The sequence below is a fragment of the Homo sapiens genome, chromosome 11 (assembly GCF_000001405.40).
Source record: "Homo sapiens chromosome 11, GRCh38.p14 Primary Assembly".
NCBI classification, from domain to species: domain Eukaryota; kingdom Metazoa; phylum Chordata; class Mammalia; order Primates; family Hominidae; genus Homo; species Homo sapiens.
In genome coordinates, this window is record NC_000011.10 from 130,027,097 (window position 1) to 130,047,271 (window position 20,175).

Consider the following 20,175-nt stretch of genomic DNA (forward strand, 5'->3'; position numbering starts at 1 on the left):
TTTTATGTTAATGACATAGGAGTTTTAAAAACTTTTTATTTTTTAGGGACAGGGCCTTGCTGTGTTGCCCAGGGTGGAATGCAGTGGCACAATCACAGCTCACTACAGCCTTGATCTCCTGGCCTCAAGCAGTCCTCCCACCTCAGCCTCCCAAGTAGCTAGGACTAGATACATGTGCCACCATGCCTGGATCATTTAAAAAAAAATTTTTTTTTTTTTTGTAGGTGAGGAGGCTAGGGAGGTGTCTCGCTATGTTGCCCAAGTTGGTCTGTAACTCCTGGCCTCAAGCAATCCTCCCTCCTTGGCCTCCTAAAGTGCTGGGATTACAGCCATAAACTTCCTTAATTGGCTATATAAGTGCTTCCCAAATTGTAATTCGAATACAAATCATCTGGGGATTCTGTTTAAAATGTAGATCGTAATTCAGAAGTTCTGGGATAGGGTTTGAGACTTTCCATTTGTAACAGATTCCAAGGTGATGTTGCTACTGGTCCATGGACCACAATTTAAGTCACAGCAAAAAATATATCACAAACCCAAAGAGGGTATGCAGAGTTCAGAGCATTTCACCCATTAACAAGATTCTAATACCATATTTGTCAATACACCCTAACGTTCAGCAAAGAAAAGACTAAACATTTACTGGCATTGGCTTTCGCCACACTTTTTTTTTTTTTTTTTTTTGAGATGGAATAATTTCGCTCTGTCTTCCAGGCTGGGGTGCAGTGGCGCGATCTCGGCTCACTGCAATCTCTGCCTCCCAGGTTCAAGTGATTCTTCTGCCTCAGCCTCCCGAGTAGCTGGGACTACAGGCATGTGTCACCATGCCCTGCTAATTTTTATATTTTTAGTAGAGACGGGGTTTTACCATATAGAGCAGGCTGGTCTTGAACTCCTGATCTCGTGATCCACCCGCCTCGGCCTCCCAAAGTGCTGAGATTATAGGCTTGAGCCACTGTGCCCGGCCTGCCACACTTCGAATAAACAGTGTATCCAAGAGATGAAAAGTTACAGCGCTCACCACTATTTAGAGGTCTGAAGTTGATTTTTGCCAATGTCATACATCATGGAGGCTCTCTGAATTCCCAATTTTTTGTGTTTATTCCATCCACCCAATTTATAGACTTGATTTGTGGGAATTTAATAAAATGCCATCTGTCCCCCAAGTGCAGACATAGATAGAAAGTGATGATGCTTCTGGCCTTTTTTTTTTTTTTTTTTTTTTTTTTGAGACGGACTCTTGCTCTGTCGCCCAGGCTGGAGTGCAGTGGCACAATCTTGTCTCGCTGCAACCTCCACCTCCCAGGTTCACGCCATTCTCCTGCCTCAGCCTCCCAAGTAGCTGGGACTACAAGCACGTGCCACCATGCCTGGCTAATTTTTTTGTATTTTTAGTAGAGACGGGGTTTCACCATGTTAGCCAGGATGGTCTCAATCTCCTGACCTCGTGATCCACCCACCTCGGCCTCCCAAAGTGCTGGGATTACAGGCGTGAGCCACCGCGCCCAGCCTGGTCATTTTTTTTTAAATGTCATTGTTGTCTTCAAAACTGTGAAATACTGCCTTTTTTTTTTTTTTTTTTTTTTTTTTTTTTGATAAAGAGTCTTGCTGTGTTGCCCAGGCTGGAGTGCAGTGGCGCGATCTTGGCTCACTGCAAGCTCCGCCTCCCAGGTTCACGCCATTCTCCTGCCTCAGCCTCCCGAGTAGCTGGAACTACAGACGCCCGCCACCACACCCGGCTAATTTTTTGTATTTTTAGTAGAGACGGGGTTTCACCGTGTTAGCCAGGATGGTCTTGATTTCCTGATTTCGTGATCCACCCACCTCGGCCTCCCAAAAGTGCTGGGATTACAGGCGTGAGCCACCATGCCTGGCCTTTTCTTTCATCTTTAGGCATGCAAAGCCTTATTATAAACAGGTATCGAAATAAGTAAAACAAATACCTGTTATTATTCCAATAGGGACAGGATCATCATGTTTTTTTTAAAAGTATGTCTGCCTTATTTTTCTTCTCACTTGCTCATTATGATTGACTTACACGAGATTTAGTGATACCTATCAGGAATTTTTGCCAACATCTGAAACTTAACACAGAAAAGTAAACCAACAATTCTCCTTTCTTACTAATATGTATCTTCCGTTGTCCATATAACAACTTTGTGGTCAAAACCTTAATATTTTGTTTGACTCTACATCAAGCTCCACACTTAATCATTTACCAAGTCTTACGAAACCATCCTGTCTATTGTTTCCTAGAGTTAGCCACTATTTCAAATGGGAAACAAAAGACTGACACTAGTTTCTTTCCTTTCAGCTCTAACCAAAACTCGCAGCCTCCCCTCTGAGATCTGAAAGAAAAAGACAGCAGGGGAAAGGAAGAGAAGCTACCAAAGAAGGGAAACAGTAGTATAAAATGTGTTCTGATATTGTTTATACCACACCTTAAGTAGAGAGTAGGACCAAGCCATTTAAAAAATTGTGCCATATACAGGAGAATCACTTGAACCTGGGAGGTGGAGGTTGCAGTGAGCCGAGATTGTGTCACTGCACTCCAGTCTAGGTGACAGAGCGAGACTCCATCTCAAAAAAAATAAAAATAAAAATTGTGCCATATAATGCAAACTCTTAGGGACATGGGCCATGCTGTCCAGATCTACTTGTCCCATTGTTTCTTAGCATTCTTTTTTTTTGAGACCCAGTCTCACTGTGTCACCCAGGCTGGATATCAGCCATGCAGTGGCACGATATCAGCTTACTGCAACCTCCACCTCCCAGGTTCAAGCGATTCTCCTGCCTCAGTCTCCAGAGTATCTGGGATTACAGGCGTGTGCCACCACACCCAGCCAATTTTTGTATTTTTAGTACAGATGGGGTTTTGCCATGTTGGCCAGGCTGGTCTCGAACTCCTGGCCTCAAGTGATTCACCCACCTTGGCCTCCCAAAGTGCTGGGATTATAGGCATGAGCCACCATGCCTGGCCTGTTGCTTAGCATTCTTTTTTTTTTTTTTTTTTTTTTTTTTTTGAGACAGAGTCTCACTCTGTCACCCAGGCTGGAGTGCAGTGGTGCGATCTCGGCTCACTGCAACCTCTGCCTCCTGGGTTCAAGCAATTCTCCTGTCTCAGCCTCCCTAGTAGCTGGGACTACAGTCACATGCCATCACACCTGGCTAATTTTTGTATTTTTAGTACAGACAGAGTTTTACCATATTGGTCAGGCTGGTCTGGAACTCCTGACCTCAGGTGATCCACCCGCCTCCACCTCCCAAAGTGCTGGGATTATAGGTGTGAGCCACCTCGCCCGGCTCTTAGCATTCTTGTGCCTCATTTTCCTCATCTATAAACTGAGGATAACACTGCAGGCTCCCTACCTAAATATCCATCCCTCCTTCCCCTTTATTAACGGAATTTCATTTGGTGGTCTCCCAGCCTCCCTTGCAACTAGCAGTGGCCAGGTAACATAGCTCTCATCAAAGAGATGTTGACAGAAGTCCTTGAAAAGAGATACCCACTGCATTTCTCTCTGGAAGGCAGACATAATGTCTTGAAAAGTTATATTATGACCTTGAAAATGAAAGACATATGCTAAGAATAGCGGAGAAAGAAGACAGAATGAGCCTGGGTTCTTGGTGACCTCTCATGAAGATCACACAAGACTGGCCTCCTTATTGAATGGAAGAAAAAAAACCTGACTTCTTATAATAGGGTTTTCTGTTACACGTAACACAATCCTGATATACCGTTTCAGAGTTACTGAGAACATTATTAAGTGTGATAATGAACATAAAAATGGTTAACACAGGGCCTAGCATATCATAAGCATGTATTTAATGTTAGTAGTTAACACTGCCATTATTAGTAATACTGTTATTATTATTATTATTATTCCCCATGGCTTCTTTGTTCTCCCCTTTCTTAAGCACAAGCTTTTTCCATTCTACTTCATTTCCACACACGTCAGTCAAATTCAGGCACTCATGACATTACCTCTGGATTATACTCTTGGTATTCTAGTTGTACCTTGAAAGATGAATTGTTTTAGATAGGCAGAGAGAAGGGTGGAGGGCCTAACTGGTGAGGATACCAGAAATTCCATGATTTTCTGGAGGATTAGTGGGAGATAAGGTGGAAAGACAAGTTGAAGCCAGATTGTCAGGGGTTTTCTATAAGTGGCAAAGGGCAGGCCAAGGAATTTGTAGTGCATTTTCTTGTAAAAAGATTAGGCCCCCACTTGCTTTTTTTTCTTTTTTTTTGGTGAAGTCTCACTGTGTCGCCCAGGCTGGAGGGCAGTGGTGCAATCTCAGCTCACTGCAACCTCTGCCTCCCAGGTTCAAGTGATTCTCCTACCTCAGCCTCCCAAGTAGCTGGGACTACAGGTCAGCCTCCTAAGTAGATGGGACTAAAGGCACCTGCCAGCACGCCTGGCTGATTTTTGTATTTTTAGTAGAGATGGGGTTTCACCATGATGGCCAGGCTGATCTCGAACTCCTGACCTCAAAGGATCTGCCCGCCTTGGCCTCCCAAAGTGCTGAGATTACAGGGGTGAGCCACTGAGCCCGGCCCACCTGCTTTCTTTTAAGAAAGCTAATGATATGATGAAAGAAAAGTCCAAATACCCCTCTTTTATTTACTTGGTGGTGTTATTCAGCTTCTCTGGAATTTAGTTTGACTATAACAAAGAAGTTAAAACAAATGTTCTCAAAGATCTATGTCAGTTCTAAAATTCTAAGATCCATGGGAAATCATTGAAATAACAGTATCTAAGCTTGAATTAAGAGCCTCAAATTAATATTAGCTCTGACTTATTCTTCCATTCATTTATTCTTTCTTTCAACAAAGTGAATTTATTTTATGTTCCATACTTTTATATAAGGAACCTTGCTGCTACTTCAAGTCTCATTGGAAGCCAACCTGGATTACCCATAACAATCAGAATAATCTTCCTCAAACATTTCAGGAATCTGTAACAGCAAGTCTTGGCCCACCTTGCTTTCTTTTCTTTTCTTTTTTTTAAGACAGGATCTCACTGTGTCACCCAGGCTGGAGTGCAGTGATGCAATCATAGCTCACCGCGGCATCAAACTCCTGTACCCAAGCAATTGTCCTGCCTCAGCCTCCTGAGTAGCTAGGCCTATAGGCACACAATACCATGCCAGACTAATTTTTTAATTTTTTGTAGAGACAGGGTCCCATTACATTGCCCAAGCTGGTCTCAAACTCCTGGGCTCAAGTGATCCTCCCTCCTCAGCTTCCCAAAGTGCTAGGATGACAGGCATGAGCCACTGCGTCCAGCCCATCCTGCTTTCATCCTTTGTCAACAAACTCAGGTCCCTGCCAACCTCCTCTCTCTCCAGTCTTCTCCATGCTTTCACATCTTACACATGATGCTAGACTCAAAGCCAAGCAGAACATTAATTTAGAAATCAAATGTGACATAATAGTACAAATGGCTTAGTAATAAATATATCATGCTTATTTTTAAAATAGGTTTATTGTTTTTCAATTATATTTGTAGTGTCAATCATAAGAGAAAATAGAGGAAATGTTTTAAAGAAATAAGGAGGTAACAACATCACCATCCAATGTGAAAAACAGTAACTTTCGGGGATATTTCTTTGCAAGATTTTTGGATGGCTTTCAAGTAGTTGTAATCATTTTGAATAGGTAATTTGTTTAACTTAATGTCATAGTACAAACTTTTTCCATGGTTTTTTTTTTTTCAGACTCCCAAATCTCTTTTATTGGGGGTAATGGGCCTCTCGGGGGTCTTCACTGCACAGCTTGTTCATTGGCACTGCTTCCCGACTCCTGGGGCTTCATCACGTCGAGCAGCTCGGGCGGGCTGGAGAACGGCTCGATGCACAGGGCCTCAAAGGCGTCGTGTGCCCGGAAGGCCAGCCCCACTGTGGCTGGGGCCTGCGGCCGTGCCGTTTGGCTGGTGAAGCCACACTCGCCCAGTGTCTTGCCATCATCCAAGAGTTGGTAGTCCTTGTACAGCCGCTGCTCGTCGGGCGGCCGCTTGAGGATTCCCTCCACGACGCGCTTCAGCTCGAACACCGTGCTGGACTCCTTGGCGTCAGTGAAGATGGTGGTCTTGTGGCGCCGGATCACGAGGAACACGTCCATAGCGGTTGCTGCCTCTCCCCTCGCTGCGCCGGCGCGGCCGCGCTCCGCCCCGTTCCCTGCAGCCCGCGCGCCGCCCGGCATGCCCCGCGCGGCCCCGCCTCCCCCAGAGAAGACTCGTTTTTCCATGTTATTGTATTGGCTTTCTATGGAACTATTTTATAGCTACATAATATTGTAAGGTTACCATGAAAGATTTAAGACATACTAAAAGATAAAAAGAATAATGGAATGAACATCCATGTATCCCACAGAGCTTAAGAAATAAAACATTATCAGTGCAGCTGATACCCTCTGTGTAATCCTCATTTGCAGCATCCTCCATCTCTAACATATGTAACGACTTTCTGAAATTTGGTGATTATTCAGCCCATGCATTTCTTTATAGTTTTTTTTTTTTTTTTTTTTTTTTTTGTAGAGACGGAGTCTCACTCTGCAGCCCAGGTTGGAGTGCAGTGGCGTGATCCCAGCTCACTGCAACTTCTGCCTCCTGGGTTCAAGCAATTCTCCTGCCTCAGCCTCCCAAGCAGCTGGGACCAGAGGCGCACACTGCCCCGCCAGCTAATTTATTTTGTATTTTAGTAGAGACGGGGTTTCACCGTGTTGCCCAGGCTGGTCTCGAACTCCCAAACTCAGGCAGTCTGCCTGCCTCACCTCCCAAAGTGCTAGGATTACAGGCGCGAGCCACCACGCCCAGCCTACTCTTTATACTTTTACCACATATGTATGTATTGCTAAGTAATATGTAATATTTGCATGTCTCAAGCTTTATATAATTAGTATCATGAAATGTATAAAGTATTCTACAACTTGCTTTTATTTCCTTCTCAGCATTATGATTATGGAAGTTGTCCATGTTGATTCATATTTGCTCAAATAAATATTTAATAAACATCATATCTATTTATATAAATATATCCTCAAATAAATATATAATAATTTATCTTGTGTTCTCCTACTGTTCAATATTCAGGTGGTTTGCAACCATAAATAATATTTTGACAAATGTCTTTCTGCATAATGTATATTTTTTTTCTCATTTAGGATCATTCCCTAAGTATAGATTCCAGAAGTTAAATTACCAAAAAGCATGAACATTTTTAAGATCCTTGCATATACTTACTGCCACACTGGAGGATTGTACAAACTTTATATTGCCACCAAACATATATCAGTTCCTTGTTTTATCACATACTTAGAAGCTTTGGATGATGTCACTAGTTCTTTCTTTAACTTTGGCTAATTTGCTTAGCAAAAACTGGTATACTCATTTCTGGTGAAGTTGAAATTGAATAACTTTTCCATGTTATCTGTTAATCATATTAACTGCTTTGTCTTTTCATGCCTTTTGCCCATCAGCACTGTTGGAGACAGTGTTTTATCTGAATAGCTTTTTTATGTAACACTGTACTAACTCTTGTCAAATTAGCTACAAATATTTTTCCTAGTTTTTTGTACCTAGTTTAATTTCTAAATAATGTCTATATGTATATAATTAAAGGGTCTGATAAAAATTCTGTTATGTCAACTTGCTTATATGGCTGGCATACATATAATAGCATAGGACAGTATGATTGTTAAATCATTACTATATCATTAAATTTACAAATGCATATGCGAATTTGAAATTGGCTAAATTTTTTGATTCTCTTAATAGTCTTGACTCATCCAATTCCCAGAATAGTGTTGACGGAACTGCTAAATGTTGACCTCCATGATATTTGTAAAGAATAGGCAGCCTTCAATAGTCTACGGAGAGCTTTCATTTATGTTTTCTTTCCTTCATTTATTTTTATGTCCTTCTAAGAAAATAATTAGCAATTCAAGTTTAAATGACCATTAAAGCTTTTCAAATTGCATTTCACTAAATTGTCTAATGTTAGGAAAATTAACACTCAGTTGCTATTTCTTTATGAATTTCTTCTAATTGAGGAACAGCAGTTTGTACAATTTCTTTTCCTTTTTTTTTTCGGTCTATATGGAGTTTCACTCTTGTTGCCCAGGCTGGAGTGCAATGGCGCGATCTCCGCTCACTGCAACCTCTGCCTCCTAGGTTCAAGCAATTCTCCCGCCTCAGCCACCCAAGTAGCTGGGATTACAGGCATGTGCCACCATGTCCAGCTAATTTTGTATTTTTAGTAGAGATGGGGTTTCTCCATGTTGGTCAGGCTGGTCTCGAACTCCTGACCTCAGGTGATCCACCTACCTCAGCCTCCCAAAGTGCTGGGATTACAGGCATGAGCCACTGCGCCCGGCCCATTTGTACAACTTCAAAATAAAGATTTGACCTTTAAAAACATTCAAGACATAGGTTGAGTGAATCAGTGAGTCTACTCTGAGAAGAAGAATAAAAATAGGTAGTCATTTATTCACCATTCTCACACCTCCTCTGCTATGAAGAGTGTCCTAGGACTTAGAAGTCTCCTTTGAAGGCTTATGGAATTAATATAGCTGTTAGCAGGTCAAAGCAACTCTCAATCTAACAAGAAATATTTATTGAACACTTGTTCTATGTCCAGGCCTGAGGCAGATGCTGAAAAATACAGGAAGAATGAATAGCAGTCCTTCTAGAAAGAGCAGAAAGGGGAAGAGAATGGTGAAAAACAAAGCTGTAGGTCGGCAAGCCAGGTTATATAATGATCTTTCATGATCTGGTAAAGAATATGGACTTTGTTTCATAGCGATCGACAGCCTTAAAATATTTTTTCTTTTATTTTGCCCATCCCGTAGACCAATAGGCATCTTTAAAATACATGAACATGTTTGGTATCACCTTTGTTATATCTGCAACACCATGAATCTAATCAAATAATAAAATGTCATTGGCCAGGTGCAGTGGCTCATGCCTGTAATCACAGGGCTTTGGGTGGCTGAGGCAAGAAGATTACTTGAGCCAGGAGTTTAAGACCACCCTGGGCAACATAGTGACACCCTGTCTCTGCAAAAAAAAAAAAAAAAAAAAAAAATTGAAAAATTGAAAAATTAGCTGAGTGTGGTGGAGCACACCTGTAGTCCCAGCTATCAGGGGGTGGGAGTGGGGGTGAGGCAGGAGGATTGCTCTTGCCGTGGAGGTCTAGGCTGCAGTGCACTATGATCACGCCACTGCTTTCCAGCCTGGGCAACAGAGCAAGACCCTGTCTCTAAAAATAAAAAATAAAATAATAAAATGTCATCATTTCTTCTTGAATAAAAGATGCATATTAGAAAGATAATTCAAAAGGAAGTGTAGAAAATGGCCTGGATAGAGGAGCTATGGATGGAGGATGACTACTGGGAGACGGATAACAATAGTCCACGCAAGATATAGGAAGAAGGTTGATGTTACACAACGTCATGCTATGCACTGCAGGGAATACGAAGCTGAACAAGACACAGCCCCTGCTGTCAAGGATGGATGAATGAAAATGCCAACTTCATGCTTGTTAACCCTAACATAGTCCCCCTGGAGACAGTGATATAGAAAGATATGGATAAGAGAAGATAGGCTTATATTAAAATCCTGCTGAAGATAAAGATTATAGAAAGCGGCCAGGGACAGTGGCTCACGCCTGTAATCCCAGCACTTTGGGAGGCCGAGGCGGGCGGATTACCTGAGGTCAGGAGTTCGAGATCAGCCTGGGCAACACAGTGAAACCCCGTCTCTACTAAAAATACAAAATTAGCCAGGTGTGGTGACACATGCCTGTAATCCCAGCTACTCAGGAGGCTGAGGCAGGAGAATCGCTTGAACCTGGGAGGCGGAGGATGCGGTGAGCCGAGATCGCACCATTGCACTCCAGCCTGAGCAAGAGTAAATCTCCGTCTCACCAAAAAAAAAAAAATTATAGAAAGCAGTAATTTTTGCTTGATATTTTCAATTTGACTATGTCATTTCCCATGTCTTTATATAATCAATTTATACACCCTGCTGTTTGTGTTTTGGCCAGCCATACAAAACAAGGCAACAGGAACAATGCAGTCAGCAGTTGCCTGGACTTGTTAGCGGATGTGATTTCAGTAACTAACTACTTGCTGACTCAGAGACAGAGGAAAGCAAAAATCTCCTCTCCCTGTTCTGTGGCCAGCCAAGTGATTATGAGGCTGTCAAAGTCCACAGTGATGGGGACTCCTTATAGTGCTCAGCTTGTTCCTTTGCTGTGTCACTGGTTAACCTGGACTGAAGTTTCATTCTAAACATAAAGAGATGGCCGGGTGCCGTGGTTCATGCCTGCAATCCCAGCACTTTGGGAGGCTGAGGTGGGCGGATCACCTGAGGTCAGGAGTTCAAGACCAGCCTGACCAACATGGAAAAACCCTGACTCTACTAAAAAATATATAAAAATTAGCCGGGCGTGGTGGTGGGTGCCTGTAATCCCAGCTCGTCAGGAGGCTGAGAGAGAGAATTGCTTGAATCCGGGAGGTAGAGGTTGCAGTGAGCCGAGATCGCACCACTACACTCCAGCCTGGGTGACAGAGCGAGACTTCATCTCAAAAAAAAAAAAAAGTTAGCTGGGCATGGTGGCGCATGCCTGTAATCCCAGCTACTCGGGAGGCTGAGACAGGCGAATCGCTTGAACCGGGGAGGCAGAGGTTGCAGTGAGCCAAGATCGCACCATTGCACTCCAGCCTGGGCAACAAGAATGAAATTCTGTCTCAAGAAAAAAAAAAGAGAGATAAATGAATTATGTAAATATTGTCGGGGCTTGGTAACTGGTCCAAGAAGACTAGCCCTCCTTCCGTTTCCCCTGGTCACAGGCTGCATTATTCACCTAATCACTCGGGTGCTCCACAGAGTGAGCTGGAAGCAGAGTTGCTGCAGCGCCCTCCCCCAGCCCTATTAATCAGCACAAACACCCAGCACAGAGCCAGTCCACAGTAGAAAAGGATGGGATTTGGAACTAGATAGGGTTGAATACTGGCTTTGTCAGGCTGAATGACCTCCTGCAAGTTAGTTAACCTCTTGCAACCACAAGTTTCTCACCTCTAAAACAGTGGTTATGAAATGCCCACACACATGTATTCAAAATAATAGATGTACAGCACCTGGCACCCTCATGCTTTGCTGGTAGAAACGTAAAATGGTGCAGCCACTTTTGAAAACAGTTTGGCAGTTTCTTAAAAAGTTAAACATAAATTTACCATACAACCCAGCAATTCTATGCCTGGGTGTCTACCCAAGAGGAATGAAAACATATGTCCACACAAAGACTTGTGTGCGAATGTTCATAGCAGCATTATTCATAACTGAACTGCAAAAACATTATGCTAAGTAAAAGAAGCCAGACAAAAAAGATGACATATTGTATGAGTCCATTTACATGAGGAAAGGCAAAACTAGGGAGACCTAAAGTCGCTTAGGTTTGCCTGGGGCTGGGGAACAGGAGAGGAAGAGCAAATGGGCATGAGAGATCTTTTTGGGCTGATGGAAATGTTCTAAAATTGGATTGTGGTGAGGGGTGCACAACCGTAGATCGACTAAAAATTATTGAATAGTACACTTAAAATTGTGACATTATTTGGTGTAGAAATTATACCTCGCTGGGCACGGTGGCTCACACCTGTAATCCCAGCACTTTGGAAGGCTGAGGCGGGCAGATCACCTGAGGTCAGGGGTTTGAGACCATCCCGACCAACATGGTGAAACCCCAGCTCTACTAAAAATACAAAAATTAGCTGGGCATGGTGGCATGCGCTGTAGTCCCAGCTACTTGGGAGGCTGAGGCAGGAGAATCGCTTGAACAGGTGAGGCAGAGCTTGCAGTGAGCCAAGATGGCGCCACTGCACTCCAGCCTGAGCGACAGAGCAAGGCTCTGTCTCAAAAAAAAAGAAAAAGAAAATAAAAAGAAAAAGAAAGAAATTATACCCCAATGAAGCTGTTTTTAAAAACCCACCAGCACATAGGAGGCTCTCAATATTGTAGCAAATAGCTGACATTTAGTACATGCTTATTGGTAAACAAGCACTACTTTAAGCATGCCACATGTGATTTTGCTCAATTTAACTCATTTCTTTTCTTTTCTTTCTTTCTTTCTTTTTTTTTTTTTTTTTTTTTTTTGAGACAGAGTCTTGCTTGTCACCCAGGCTGGAGTGCAGTGACATGATCTCGGCTCACTGCAACATCTGCCTCCTGGATTCAAGCCATTTTCCTGCTTCAGCCTCCCCAGTAGCTGGGATTACAGGCATGCACCACCATGTCCAACTAATTTTTGTATTTTTAGTAGAGACGGGGGTTTCACCATGTTGGTCTGGCTGGTCTTGAACTCTTGACCCTGTGATCCACCCGCCTCAGCCTCCCAAAGTGCTGAGATTACAGGCATGAGCCACCGGCTCAAAGCAGTGTTTCAGAAACTTAAGTCTTTCAAATGCCACTTTCACTATTTTTTTTTTCCATAATGGCTACTTACCACCTGTACAATCAATTGTTAACCTAACGTTTTTATTTAAACCCACTTGGTTTTTAAAAAACTTATAAATGAGGCCAGGTGCTGGTGGTTCACACCTGTAATCCTAGCACTTTGGAAGACCAAGGCAAGTGGATCACTTGAGCTCAGGAGCTCAACACCAGCCTGGGCAATATGGCGAGACCCCCATCTCTGCAAAAAATGCAAAAATTTGCCGCGGGAGGCTGAGGTGGGAGGACTGCTTGAGCCCAGGAAGTCGAGGTTGCAGTGAGCCACGATCGTGCCACTGTACTCCAGGCTGGGTGACAGAGTGAGGCCCTGTCTCAAAAAACAAACAAAAAACCTTACAAATAAAAAACAGATTTTAGGCCAGGCACAGTGGCTCACGCCTGTAATCCCAGCACTTTGGGAGGCCGAGGCGGGCGGATCACGAGGTCAGGAGATCCAGACCATCCTGGCTAACACGGTGAAACCCCGTCTCTACTAAAAATACAAAAATGTAGCCGGGCATGGTGGTGGGCGCCTCTAGTCCCAGCTACACGGGAGGGTGAGGCAGGAGAATCGCTGGAACCCGGGAGGCAGAGGTGGCAGTGAGCTGAGATTGCACCACTGCACTCCAGCCTGGCAACAGAGCGAGACTCCGTTTCAAAAAACAAACAAACAAACAAACAAACAAACAAACAAACAAAAAACACCGATGTCTATGGTAAATGGAAAGTCACTACAGTCACGCGCCAGATAACGTTTCAGTCAACTACAGGCCGCGTATGCGATGGTGGTCACGTAAGATTATAGAGGGGTCTTTCCTTTCTGCGCCCCGGGAGACCTCGGCGTTGCCACGGGCTGCGCCCCCGGTGTTGCTGGAACTGCAAGAACGAATTTGCACCCCAAGCCTCGGTTCCGCTGGGGGCTGGGGAGTGTCCCCGAGGCCAACACGTGTATCTTTGACCTGGGACGGAAGAAGGCAAAAGCCTTCCCCCTCTGGCCACATGGTGAGATCCCTACCTGGTGTCGGATGAACGCGAGCCGCTCCACTCTGCAGCCGGGGAAGCTGCGCACATTTATGTCAAGCGCACGGTCAAAGTGGTGGCCGGGACGCTCTCACCTCCCAGGGCTTCCCCACCCCGTCCGCGTCATCCTCAATACAAGGTCTCGTCCTGCGCTGGGGCTGCAGGCTCCAGACAGGCCTGCAGGTGCCTGTGGAAAGCCCCCGCGGCCGGGGCCAGGTTCGCAGGGGCCGGGTTGTCAAGTCCGTCCGCACCAAACCGCGGAACACGGAGCACATGACTGTGCAGGGCCAAGGACAGGTTCCCGGCGCCAGAAGACCCAGGTGTCGGAGACTGGGCTTTGCCACCTTCGATTCGGATGAATTTGAAGACATGTGGCTGAGAAGCGGCTCATCCCAGATGGCTGTAGGGTCCGATACATCCCCACTCGCGGCGCCCTGGGCAAGTATCGGACTCTGAGCTCATGAGAGATTCCACTGTGCTGTCCCCTCCTAATGCTCATTAATAAATCCTACTTCCTGTCAAAAAAAAAAATTGGCCCAGCGCGGTGGCTTACGCCTGTAATCCCAGCACTTTGGGAGGCCGAGGCGGGCGGATCACTTGAGGTCGGGAGATCGAGACCAACCTGACCAATATGTTGAAACCCCGTCTCTACTACAAATACAACAATTAGCTGGGTGTGGTAGCGGTCGCCTGTAATCCCAGCTGCTGGGAAGGCTGAGGCAGGAGAATCACTTGAACCTGGGAGGCAGAGGTTGCAGTGAGCCAAGATCGTGCCACTGCACTCCAGTCTGGACTACAGAGAAAGACTCCGTCTCAAATAAAAAATAAAAATTTAAAAATTTTTCAAAAATTTAAAAGTTAATGTATTATTGAAGAAATAAAATTTTTAAAATAAATTTAATGTAGCCTAAGTATAGTGCACAGAATGCCCCAGGCCTTCACATCGCCTCACTGCCCGCTCATTGACTCACCCAACTTCCAGTCCTGTAAGCTCCAGTCATGGAAAGTGCCTAGACAGGTGTTCCTTTATAAAAAAAAACTTTCTTTTTTTTTTTTTTTTTTTTTTGAGACGGAGTCTCGCTCTGTCGCCCAGGCTGGAGTGCAGTGGCGCGATCTCGGCTCACTGCAAGCTCCGCCTCCCGGGTTCACGCCATTCTCCTGCCTCAGCCTCCCGAGTAGCTGAGACTACAGGAGCCCGCAACCACTCCTGGCTAATTTTTTGTTTTTGTTTTTGTTTTTGTTTTTTAGTAGAGACGGGGTTTCACCGTGTTAGCCAGGATGGTCTCGATCTCCTGACCTCGTGATCTGCCGGTCTTGGCCTCCCAAAGTGCTGGGATTACAGGCGTGAGCCACCGTGCCCGCCCCCAAAAAAAGTCTTTCATTTGGCATTTTTACTGTACCTTTTCTATGTTTAGATACACAAATACTTACCATTGTGTTACAATTGCCTGCAGTATTCAGCACTGTGCGGTATACACGCAGGAAGGTAGCCTGGGAACCATAGGCTGTATCATACAGCCTGGATGTGTAGTAGGCTGTGCCATCTGGGTTTGTGTAAGTGCACTCTAGGATGTTTGAACAATGATGAAATCACCTGATGATGCGTTTCCCAGACATATCCTGTTGTTCAGCAACGCATGACTGTACAGTGTACAGTGAAAATAAGCACGAGGAAGGCCAAATGGTCTTAGTTTGTGGATGGATGCTGTTGCCTAAAGAAGGCTTGCTCTCTCTCTGAGTAGGGACAGAAAGGAGGCTAAGCGTGAGAGAGGCGGCTTTGCCATACTAGATGCAATCACACTGGAGACCGGGGTCCACGGTCGAGAACAGAGAAGCGCTTTCGCATTTCCCGCTGTTCCGCAGAGCTGAAAGACTGAGGCCAGACACCTCCTCAGGGCTTATCACGGTGGCTCACCTGCTCCTGCGGCTTCATCATCATCCAGTCAGAGTCCGTGGAAGCGGAGCTGGAGATGCTGGGGATAGGGGTTGGGGTCGGGTGGCAGGTAGCATGACGTGGAGGTTCAGTGAGGGGCCTGGGAGAATTGCTGAGAATGGGATAGTCCGAAAGGCGCGGCTCGCAGCCTGTGGAGTGTGAGGGGACCTGGGGAGCCCAGTGTGCACCCCGTAGAGTTTGGATGTGTATGACCCTAATCGTGACCCCTAGGAATGGGAGCTGAGGGACAGTTGAAGTGGTCAAGCCCTGGTGACCCTCCCATGTCGGGGAACTGCACAGCTCACCAAAAAACTCACCCTCACACTGCCATGAGAGTCTGAACTCGGATTCCTGGACAAGCGGGCATCAGCAGCCAGGGAGGGGCCGTGCGGCCCAGAGAGGACCACAGGGCATCTCTTGTGGAGGGGGGCATGTGTTCCCTTCCCCGGAGGAGAAAGGAACCTAGAGGGATGCAGAAGGGCACCAGGCAAACACTAATTTGGATATGAAATTAAAAATTTAAACGACACTGGCTTTTTCTGGTAACTAAAACTGATCAGATATTTATGGGCTCTGCCCAAGAGGTAGTTAAGAGAAACTTACCTTTCCTCAAGTTAATGGCTTACCAAGAATATGGGAAATATTTGGAAAGAGGGAATAATCTTTCTTCCCTACAATGAGAGAGAGATTGAGTATGTGGAAGGTGGTAGTTAAAGAAAGTGAAATATTTCTTTTGCTACTCCATTTGATTCAGACTGTTCAGTCAATTGGGGAGAGAAGGATTAAAACAATTTCAAAATATTTCATTTTTGTACCCTGCCATTCAACTAATGCCTGTTATTGTAATATCTAAAATTATCTTTGATATCTGCTATATTTTGGGAAACTCTGCTCTAGGGGAAGTGAAGAGTTGCTCCCGGCCCCACCCTCCAACCCTGGGGTTGCCAGCGAAGGTACTGAAAGATGTGGGGTAGAATGGTGTCTAACCTGTTTCTCTTCTCAATCTTCAGCAACCTTTGTCTACCTTTTATACTTGACCAAAATGACCATTTTCTCTCCATTTATATTTTCCTCTCTTTTTAACCACAGAGCCACCAGCGTTCCAGCTTGTTATTTCCTCTTTCTGTTTTCCTCATTTGCTCTGTTTCTCTTCCCTCTTCCTGATTTCTTGATGCTTGCCTTTCGTTGGTCAGCAAGGGAGAAGTTTGCCCAACAGACTTTACTCTCCACTGACCGTTCTTAGGGCAAAATGAAAACCCCAGGCTGGAGCTGCCCAAGGCACTGTGAGAGGCAGTGCATCAGCCGGGTGCAAAATCTCCCGCCTGCAAAGCCAGGGGTGAAAGCCAGGCTGTGATTTCAGGTTCAGCCTCTTGTTAACTATTCAGCCTTGGGCAAGTCTCAACTTCTTTTTTTTTTTTTTTTTTTCCCAAGGAAGAAGAATTTTTCTTAGTACAGCACAAAATGAAAAGTCTCCCATGTCTACCTCTTTCTACACAGACACGGCAACCATCCGATTTCTCAATCTTCTCCCCACCTTTCCCCCCTTTCTATTCCACAAAACCGCCATTGTCATCATGGCCCGTTCTCAATGAGCTGTTGGGTACACCTCCCAGACGGGGTGGTGGCCGGGCAGAGGGGCTCCTCACTTCCCAGTAGGGGCGGCCGGGCAGAGGCGCCCCTCACCTCCCGGACGGGGCGGCTGGCCGGGCGGGGGGCTGACCCCCCACCTCCCTCCCGGATGGGGTGGCTGCCAGGCAGAGGCGCTCCTCACTTCTCAGATGGGGCGGCCGGGCAGAGACACTCCTCACTTTCCAGACGGGGTGGTGGCCGGGCAGAGGGGCTCCTCACTTCCCAGTAGGGGCGGCCGGGCAGAGGCGCTCCCCACATCTCAGACGATGGGCGGCCAGGCAGAGACGCTCTTCACTTCCCAGACGGGGTGGCGGCCGGGCAGAGGCTGCAGTCTCGGCACTTTGGGAGGCCAAGGCAGGCGGCTGGGAGGTGGAGGTTGTAGCGAGCCGAGATCACGCCACTGCACTCCAGCCTGGGCAACATTGAGCACTGAGTGAGCGAGACTCCGTCTGCAATCCTGGCACCTCGGGAGGCCGAGGCAGGCAGATCACTTGCGGTCAGGAGCTGGAGACCAGCCCGGCCAACACGGCGAAACCCCGTCTCCACCAAAAAAATACGAAAACCCGTCAGGCGTGGCGGCGCACGCCTGCAATCGCAGGCACTCTGCAGGCTGAGGCAGGAGAACCAGGCAGGGAGGTTGCAGTGAGCCGAGATGGCAGCAGGACAGTCCAGCTTCAGCTCTGCATCAGAGGGAGACCGTGGAAAGAGAGGGAGAGGAGGGAGAGGAGGGAGAGGAGGGAGAGGAGGGAGACGGGAGAGGAAGTCTCAACTTCTTGAATGATGTTTCTCCATCTGTTAGGTGGGATTAATAATAATACCTGCTTCCTAGACTTCTTAGGAAACTCAAATGAGGTGACATGAAAATACACATCATAGATTTCTAGAAAAAAGTTTCCTTTTATTGTTATTATTTTATTTATTTATTTATTTATTTATTTATTTATTTCCAGAGATGGAGTCTCACTCTATCACCCAGGAGGCAGGAGTGCAGTGGTGCGATCTCGGCTCACTGAAACCTATGCTTCTGGGGTTCAAGTGATTCTCCTGCCTCAGCCTTCCAATTAGCTGGGACTACAGACGCAAGCCACCATGCCTGGCTAATTTTTCGTATTTTAGTAGAGATGGGGTTTCACCGTGTTGCCCAGGCTGGTCTCCAACTCTGGAGCACAGGCAATCTGCCTGCCTTGGCCCCCCAGATTGCTAGGATTATAGGCGTGAGCCACCACGCCCAGCCATGCTGGTGGTTTTTGATGGAACGTTTTTTAAAAAATAATTTTTCTTTTTCTTTACTTTTTTATTTTTTAGAGACAGAGTCTCACTCTGTTGCCCAGGCTGGAGTGCAATGGCAAGATCTCAGTTCACTGCAAACTCCGCATCCTGGGCTCAAGTGATTCTCCTGCCTCAGCCTCCCGAGTAGCTGGGATTACAGGTGCCTGCGACCATGCCCCGCTACATTTTGTATTTTTAGTAGAGGTGGGGTTTCACCATGTTGGCCAGGCTGGTCTCGAACTCCTGAACTCAGGTGATCCACCCACCTCCGCTGCCCAAAGTGCTGGGATTATAGGCGTGAGCCACTGTTCCCGGCCAAAAAAATAATTTTTCTTTTTTTTTTCAGACAGAGTTTTGCTCTTGTCGCCCAGGCGTAGTCCAATGGCACCATCTTGGCTCACTGCAACCTCCGCCTCCCGGGTTCAAGCGGTTCTCCTGCTTCAGCCTCCCAAGTAGCTGGGACTACAGGCATGTGCCACCACACCCGGCTAATTTTTGTATTTTTAGTAGAGACGGGGTTTCGCCATCTTGGCTAGGCTGGTCTCGAACTCCTGACCTCATGATCCACCTGCCTCGGCCTCCCAAAGTGCTGGGATTACAAGTGTGAGCCACCGCACCCGGATTTTTCAAAAAATAATTTTTCTAATTAAGATATGTGTATATGTTTTAACATCTTTCAGAAACATAAAATTGAATGAAAAGAGTAATTTGCAGAAACACATGCAATATAATTTATTGTGCATTTTTAAACACACAAAGCAGGACTACATGATGTTCATGTGTGCGTGTGTATATATATATATATTTAAACACACAGACAGGCCGGGCATGATGGCTCACGCCTGTAATCCCAGCACTTTGGGAGGCCAAGGCAGGTGGATCACCTGAGGCCAGGAGTTCCAGACCAGCCTGGCCAACATGGAGAAACCCCCTTGCTACTAAAAATATAAAAAAAATTAGCTGGGTGTGGTGGCGGGTGCCTGTAATCCCAGCTACCCAGGAGGCTGAGGCTGGAGAATCTCTTGAACCTGGGAGGCGGAGGTTGCAGTGAGCTGAGATTGTGCCATTGCATCCCAGCCTGGGCGACAAGAGTGAAACTCCATTAATAAAATAAAATAAAATAAACACACAAAGCATATGCTTCTTCTTATCTATATTACTTATATATATGCTTTTGTAATATATATGTGTATATTACATATGTGAGCATATAATTACATATATACATGCTTTGTGTGTTTTAAAATGCACAATAAATGCATATATATATATACAGAAAATAATCACACACACGCACACACATGTGCGTGGGAAAAGTACTTAGAATGGCAGCTCTTGGGGCAGAATGAAAACCTAAGACCAGGGCTACCTAAGACACTGTGAGAGGCAGTGAATCGGGGTACAAAATCTCCCACCTGCAATGGGTTGGAAAAAAGATAGGAAAACATTCTAAATTCACATTAAAGATTGCTCCTGGGGAGAAAGTGCAATGGCACTGGGGAAGGGTACACAAGGGGCTTCAGCTATAGCTATAGTGTTTTATTTCTTTCTTCAAAAAAGGAAATGTGTAAAACAAATATAACAAACTGTGAACAACTAACTGTTCCATCTTGATGGTAGGCACGTGTTTACTGTATTATTTTCTGTGCTTTTCCCTATTGAAAAAATGTGTTCTTAAGAAATGTTTTAGGGCCATTTGCAGTGGCCCATAATCCCAGGGCTTTGGGAGGCCAAGGTGGGAGGATCACTTGAGGCCAGGAGTTCAAGTCTAGTCTGGGCAACATAGTGAGACACTTGACCCTTGTCTCTACAAAAAAAAAAAAAACAAAAACA

At 45.6% G+C, this 20,175-nt stretch overlaps 1 pseudogene, besides 3 other annotated features; it reads right to left on the reverse strand.

The window, feature by feature from the left end:
* On the reverse strand, positions 5,772 to 6,165 carry ELOBP2 (elongin B pseudogene 2; annotated as a pseudogene).
* Positions 9,978 to 10,272: an enhancer, noted in NCBI's record as "tiled region #13105; HepG2 Activating non-DNase unmatched - State 4:PromP". NCBI's record gives its function as "activates a minimal TATA promoter and a strong SV40 promoter by Sharpr-MPRA in HepG2 cells {active_cell/tissue: HepG2}" and the evidence as "EXISTENCE:reporter gene assay evidence [ECO:0000049][PMID:27701403]".
* Positions 10,054 to 10,254: a silencer, noted in NCBI's record as "peak1511 fragment used in MPRA reporter construct". NCBI's record gives its function as "represses an SCP1 promoter by STARR-seq MPRAs in K562 erythroleukemia cells {active_cell/tissue: K562}" and the evidence as "EXISTENCE:reporter gene assay evidence [ECO:0000049][PMID:32103011]".
* Positions 10,716 to 11,258: an enhancer, noted in NCBI's record as "NANOG hESC enhancer chr11:129907707-129908249 (GRCh37/hg19 assembly coordinates)". NCBI's record gives its function as "activates a minimal SCP1, AML or CMV promoter by ChIP-STARR-seq in naive H9 embryonic stem cells {active_cell/tissue: H9 hESC(naive)}" and the evidence as "EXISTENCE:reporter gene assay evidence [ECO:0000049][PMID:30033119]".